This window comes from Homo sapiens, chromosome 9, assembly GCF_000001405.40.
Source record: "Homo sapiens chromosome 9, GRCh38.p14 Primary Assembly".
NCBI lineage: Eukaryota > Metazoa > Chordata > Mammalia > Primates > Hominidae > Homo > Homo sapiens.
In genome coordinates, this window is record NC_000009.12 from 129,353,902 (window position 1) to 129,360,855 (window position 6,954).

General features: G+C 55.0%; 1 annotated feature.

Moving 5' to 3' along the window:
• Positions 4,330-4,865: an enhancer, noted in NCBI's record as "H3K4me1 hESC enhancer chr9:132120510-132121045 (GRCh37/hg19 assembly coordinates)". NCBI's record gives its function as "activates a minimal SCP1, AML or CMV promoter by ChIP-STARR-seq in primed H9 embryonic stem cells {active_cell/tissue: H9 hESC(primed)}" and the evidence as "EXISTENCE:reporter gene assay evidence [ECO:0000049][PMID:30033119]".

Sequence of the window (6,954 nt, forward strand, 5' to 3'; positions counted from 1 at the left end):
TTCTATGCCCCACCTCCTTAGAGCCCCAGGGCCCCCAAGTGTGTTCAGAACCCGAACCAGCCTAGGAACTGACAGGAAGAAAGAGTGGAAGTTGTGGTGGGGAGGGGTTGTCGGGTCTTGAAGGAGGGGAGTTGGTTCAGATGCCCAGGGCAGCCCTGTCCCGTCGGGTCCGCCCAGCGGCCTCTGCCCATTCCCATGCTGGGCTCTGTGCCCGGGCTCTCCGTGTCTTACCTGCCCCTGGTGGACGTGTTCTTACTCCCATTTTACAGATGGGGAAGGTGAGGCTGGGAGTATAGGTAACACACCCAAGGTCCCCCAGCTAGTGAGAAGAAGGGTGGGGTTTGAGCCAAACTCTCTGGGGCTCTATGGGTCAGGCTGTCCCCCACTTCTGCACTGGCAGTGTGGGTACTTGGCAACATCCTGCCAGCTTTTCCCTGCTGCTGGTCTGGGGCTTCCACAAGGCCTTCTGGGTGGCAGGGTGGCTTGCGTCTCTGTGTGGCACACTATGGTGTCCAGTCCACATCCCTGGCTGACCGCATGTACTGGGGAGAAAGGAAAGAATAGAGACGCAGGGGAGGCCCCTCGGTCCAGCTGCACTGTTGGTAACGAGGGTCTCAGAGCAGACCCAGAGATCAGGCTGTGGAGCATCTCAGGCAGCTCTAGGGGAAGGGAAGGCATAGAAAAGACTAGAGGGGTCAGTGAGGACCAGGCCCCGAGACTCAGGGAGCCCCATGTCAGACCAGGCACCAGGAAGGGAGTTGAGGCCAGGGATTCTGCTCCAGAACTAGCTGTGTGACCTTAGGTAAGGCCCTTTACCTCTCTGGGCCTCAGTAAAAATAAAGAGGCTGGCCAGGTAAGTGGCTCATGCCTGTAATCTCAGCACTTTGGGAGGCCAAGGCGGGTAGACCACCTGAGGTCGGGAGTTCGAGACCAGCCTGACCAACATGGAGAAAACCCGTCTTTACTAAAAATACAAAAATTAGCCGGGCATGTGGTGGGCACCTGTAATCCCAGCTACTCAGGAGAATCGCTTGAACATGGGAGGCAGGGGTTGTGGTGAGACGAGATCGTGCCATTGCACTCCAGTCTGGGCAACAAGAGTGAAACTCCGTCTCAAAATAAATACATAAATACAGTGGCTCAGTTCTTTAATTTCTGAGAAGGCTTCCAAGTGGAACAGTTCAGAATTCTCTGAATGTTTTATTTTCCACCGAACTTCTCTTGAGCACCAGCAATGTCACAAATGCTGTGCTTAGGTGCAGCGAGCGGGAAGCTACAGGAGACCCCCCCACTCTCGGGGGGATGCGCACTGGGTCCTGGGGGAGCTGAAGTGCAAACGACCCACTGCCTGCACCAGGCCATGTGCTGCTGGAGGCATAGAGCAGCTAATATTGGCTGCCATCTACTCCGCACCTGCTGTATGCTTTATCCTGTTATTGAATCTGCACAACAACCTCATGCAGTAGTTACCATTATTCTTCCCATTTTACAGATTAGGAAACTGAAACCCAAAGAACTAAATGCCTGTCTGAATTCTTTCTCGCTCTGTTGCCCAGGTTGGAGTGCCATGGTGTGGTCATAGCCCACTGAAGCCTCAAACCTCTGGGCTGAAGCCATCCTTCCGCCTCAGCCTCCCAAGTAGCTGGGACCATAGGTGCATGGCACTGTGCCTGGCACTGTCTGAATGCATACAGCTGGTAAGTGTGAACCCAGGCAGATCCCAAATGGTAGCTGTCTTGACGGTTGTTAGAAAAGGGCTTCAAAGTGGAGACTTTCTATGATCTTCCCTTCCCAAGTGGAAAGGGAGGCAGAAGGATGCTCCAGGCGCACCCCAAACAGCAGTTATCTGCTGCCATGTGACAAGCCACCCCAAACACAGTGGCTCAAAATAATCATGTATTGGACTCTCTTATGATTCTGGGGTTGACTGGGCTCAGCAAGGCGGTTCATGCTTGGACTCTCTCCTGCAGGTGCAGTCAGAGAATAGCAGGAGCTGGAGTCATCTAAAGGCTCCACTGGGCTGGGTGCCCAAAACAGCCTCATCGTGGGGCTCATATTCTCTCCTAGTGTATCCCAGATTTCTTATATTACAGCTCAGGGCTCCAAGAGGCAGGAGGCCTCTGTCCCGTGTCACTTCCACAATCCTCCACTGATCAAAGCGGTCATGTAGCCTACTCAGATTGAAGGCAAGGGGCATAGACCCTACCTCTTAATGATGGGGGTATCGAGGAATTTGTAGCCACGTTTAATCCACCACAGATGCTAATACATATTTCATGGCAAAAATGGAGGTTCATGATTAAATACATTGCGGGAAAGGCAGGATTAAACAAAAGTGTTCTTTCCTGCAGGGCTTCTCAGAGCGTTTGCAGATGTGGACAGTTGGTCTCCAGCCTAGGAAAGGAGTTTGCACAATTTCCCAAACGGATTTTATGAACTGATTTTGGTTTGGCTGCTAGGAGGTCCTATCTGCAGTGGGGGCTGCTGGACCTGGGAGGCTGGGGTGCTGAGGCTCCTCTGCACACTCCACTTTGGGTGACATTGTTCTAGAACCTCCAGGTCCAGCTTCCAGAGGACCATGAGTGGGTATGATAAGGTTTGAAGTGGGGCCGGGCATGGTGGCTCACGCCTGTAACCCCAGCACTTTGGGAGGCCGAGGCGGGCAGACTGCCTGAGCTTAGAAGTTCAAGACCAGCCTGGGCAACACAGTGAAATCCCGTCTCTACTAAAATACAAAAAATTAGCTGGGCATGGTCACGTGCTCCTGTAGTCCCAGCTACTTGGGAGGGTGAGGCAGGAGAATTGCTTGAATCCGGGAGGTAGAGGTTGCAGTGAGCCGAGATCATGCCACTGCACTCCAGCCTGGGCGACAGAGCAAGACTCCATCTCAAAAAAAGAAAAGAAAAGAAAACGAAAGAAAAAAGATAAGGTATGAAGTGGAGTTCATCTCCGGCGGCTCCCACCTTCCCAGGCATCAGGGTGTGTAGGGGAACTGGCCAGATCTGCCAGCCAGGGCCACCTTCCCAAGCAGGCAGGGTCAGGTGGCACCACTTCAGGTGACCAGAGCTTCTGACCGCGTAGCCCTCTCTCTTCTTCCCTGCTGGCCCTGAGAAAAGGGCTTCCGCCCTCCAGCCTCCTGGCACTCCCTTCTGTCTGGGCAGAGTGGGAGGTGGATGGGGGCAGGAGCAGGGGCCTTGCTGCCTGACTGTGTGACCACGCCCCAGTGCCCGCCCCAGGAGAGTCTTGGTTTCCCACTCACTCCCATGGGGATGGTGAAGACACCTCTCACCAGTTGAGCGTGAGAACACTTTGCAAGAGAGTAGCTGGTCTTTCCCGGACATCTACTGGGTAGGCAGGCCCTGTGCCCAGCACATTCCAAGCACTGCTCATGTCATCCTCTCTGGGTCTCAGCATCCTCATCTGTAAAATGGGATGCCAATAGCACCTACTGCATAACATTCAATGAGGAGCAAACCGGGTAATGGGAGTGGAATTAGGAGACAGAGACCCAAGCCCACTCAGCCTAAAGGTCTCAGCCACAAAGGTCTGTGCGCACCCTGGTCCTGGCTCCTGGCTGAGCGGGACCCAGTGTGCAGTGCTGCGGTTGTTGGCCATGTCTGCTGCGTGTGGCTGAGTCCGGGCACAGTGTATGCCCATGTGCCACTGTGCAGGGCAGGCTGTCTGCGTGTGGCCCTTCCCCAGCGAGCAGGGCAGCACTGCCTGTGAATGCCACAGTTTGGTTTGTGCCCCCACCCCCTGTGGGGCCCTTCCCCCTCCGTCTCCCCACTGGCACCATCCCCCAGGAGGCCATGTCCCCAGGCTTGACGTCTCCGAACAGAGGCAGGCAGGGGAGAGCTGGTTACCTGAGAGCAATAATCAGGAAGGACCCTGCCACCACCCTCCTCCCCAGCCTGGACCAGTGACGCAGCCCTGGGAACAGTCTCTGAGGCTTTCAGATGGATCCCACACCAGCTGTGTGTCCTTGGGCATGTGACACCAGGCCTGTTTCCCCCTCTGAAAATGGCCCCTGTGATGTTTCTGCCTCTCAGGGCTGGAAGGAGGATTCCGGGATGTGCTGTCTCCACCGCTGCCTTGTGGTGCAGCTCCAGCAGCCTCCACCCATCTGGGATTCCAGCCAGAGCCCTGGGGTGGGGGGACGGGGTTGCAGACACAGTGGCAGGGCCCAGGTGGGAGCACCAAGCTTCCAGGTGAGAGGGCTGAGGCTGGGCGTGGTCAATCCAGGGCACCTGCAGAGTAGGGGTCCTTGGGCTGGTTTTCTTTTCTTTTTTTTTGAGACAGAGTCTCGCTTTGTTGCCCAGGCTGGAGTGCAGTGGCAGGTTCTCAGCTCACTGCACCCTCCGCCTCCTGGGTTCAAGCGATTCTCCTGCCTCAACCTCCCGAGTAGCTGGGATAACAGGCACGCACCACCACACCCAGCTAATTTTTGTACTTTTAATAGAGACAGGGTTTCACCTTGTTGGTCAGGCTGGTCTTGAACTTCTGACCTCAAGTGATCCACCTGCCTCAGGCTCCCAAAGTGCTGAGATTACAGATGTGAGCCACTGAGCCCGGCCCTTGGGCTGGTTTTCTAAACCAGCCCCCCAGCACTGCCCACAAACATCCCCACAGAGCCAGGGCGCCCCTGAGTTCCACCTTCCATCCTGGGAATTGTCGCCCATAGGTGGCCACAGCCATCCTGCTTCCTCTACCTCTTTCCCCTCCCACACCCTGCAGCCACTCGTCTTCCACAAGAAAGGGTACATCTGCCCACTTCTCCCAGTGCAGGACCCCCCCGCTGCTCTTCCCTCCCCTGCCTGGAGTGCTGCTCCAGACTCTTCCCAGGCCCGGGCTGCAGCATGGCTCTTGACGGCCGTACCCCACACAGGGGCTGTGGGTGTGATGAAGTGTCTCCCCCAGCTCACGGCCCTGCAGGGGCGTAAGTCCCCCTTACAGAGTCAGCTCTATCCCTCGACTCTGAAGGCTGCAGGGGCACGGTTCCTGCCCACTCCTGCAGGCTCACACCTCTCCACCCCCACCTCTGCTCCAGCCAGAGGAAGTGACTTTCCAGGCCTCTGGGCCCTTGCACATGCTGTCCCTGCTGCCTGAAATGCTCCCCGTTGTCATCAGATCAGCTGTTCATTCTTTAGGACTCAGCCTGGGCTTCCCCTCCTCCAGAGAGCTCCCGACCCCTCCCAAATTCTCCCATAAGTCCCAAGGCTCTGTCACCAGGCTCTTGATACGTGTCTGTCACCCCCATGAGACTGTCCAGGAGGGGTCCGTGTCTAGTTTGTCTCTAATCCTCTAGCTTGGCCCAAGGCCTGGTTGGGAGGTGGGTCTCCAGTGTGGAAGGATGGCCCAGTCCCCTCATCCCGCACCTGTGCCTCGGCCATGCCTCCCCAGGTGCCTTCACCTCCCCACCCGCCTTTCTCTGCAGCGTAGCATCGTGGTAAGAACACCCGCCCTGACATCACACAGACCTGCATCCACGTCCCAGCTGAGCCTCAGTTCTCACATCTGCAAAATGGGGAGAACAACAGCAGCAGCGTCCTGAGGCTGGGGTGAGGACCGAGTGAAAAACCTTTGTCGCATCTTTGGGCATCGCAGGAGTTCAATAAATGTTAGCTATCGTTGTCACTTTGTATTATCCAGCCCAGTCTGGCCCGTTGTAATCACCTCCTGACCTGTGTCTGGGAGCTCACAGCTCCAAGCAGCAATTCCACAGCTGGAATCATTTCACTGTCACAGAACACTCCATGGCTCCCCATTGTCTTCCCCAGGACATAAACACTCCAACTAATTTTCTTTTTTTTTTTTTCTTTTTTTTTTTCAAGACGGGGACTTGCTCTGTCACTGAGGCTGGAGTGCAATGGCATGATCTTGGCTCACTGCAACCTCCACCTCTTGGGTTCAAGCGATTCTCCTGCCTCAGCCTCCCGAGTAGCTGGGATTACAGGCGTCCGCCACCACACCCAGCTAATTCTTTGTATTTTTAGTAGACATGGGGTTTCACCATGTTGGCCAGGCTGGTCTCAAACTCCTGACCTCGTGATCCACCCGCCATGGCCTCCCAAAGTGCTAGGATTACAGGCGTGAGCCACTGTGCCCAGCCACTCCAGCTAATTTTCAAAGCTCTTCATCACCTGTCTTTCTGGATTTTCTGGAGAGGCCACTTTGACTGGTGGCCAAACAAAAGTCCCTCAAAGAGAAAGGGGTTTCCTTGTGGCTGGTACAGACACCCCCGCCAGTAGGCCCCTCACCTCCACCCCTGCTCCTCCACCACCCACCCCTCCCCCACTGGAGGCTGGGCCGCCTGGGCAGGCCACTCACCTCCCAGAGCTTCTAGTTCCTTCAGCCGCAAAGTGGCACTAATCCCAGTCCTTCTGGTGATGCTCCCCGACTGTTAGGGATCTGTGGGGTGTGGGGGTCTGAGTGGGACCATGCCGGGTCCAGAGGGCTTAGCTTGGCGTCAGGCACACAAGGGCTGCAGGAGGCCGCCCCAGCCCCATGGCCGCCCCGTCTAGCCCACAGCCCTCCACACAGGCTCTGGAGCAAAGCCAGAATCCACCCTGCTCATCTCTCAGAATTCCCCTGCCTTTTCAAGCTGAATATTACCCTGATTGTGTTGTAGGGAAAGGAAGAGAACATTTGTTCTTTAAAAAAACAAAAACAAAAAAAAACCATTTTCTTCATTTACAAAAGTAATACATGTTAATTGTGGATAATTTTGAAATTAAGATAAACCAAAGAGAAAATTTTAAATGATCTATAATTCATCACCCATCTATCACCACGTTGAGCATTTGAGCTTCTAGCACCTAGATTTTTATTTTTTATTTTTTTATTTTTTGAGACAGAGTCCCGCTCTGTCGCCCAGGCTGGAGTGCAGTAGCGTGATCTCAGCTCACTGCAACCTCCACCTCCTGGGTTCAAGCAATTCTCCTGCCTCAGCCTTCC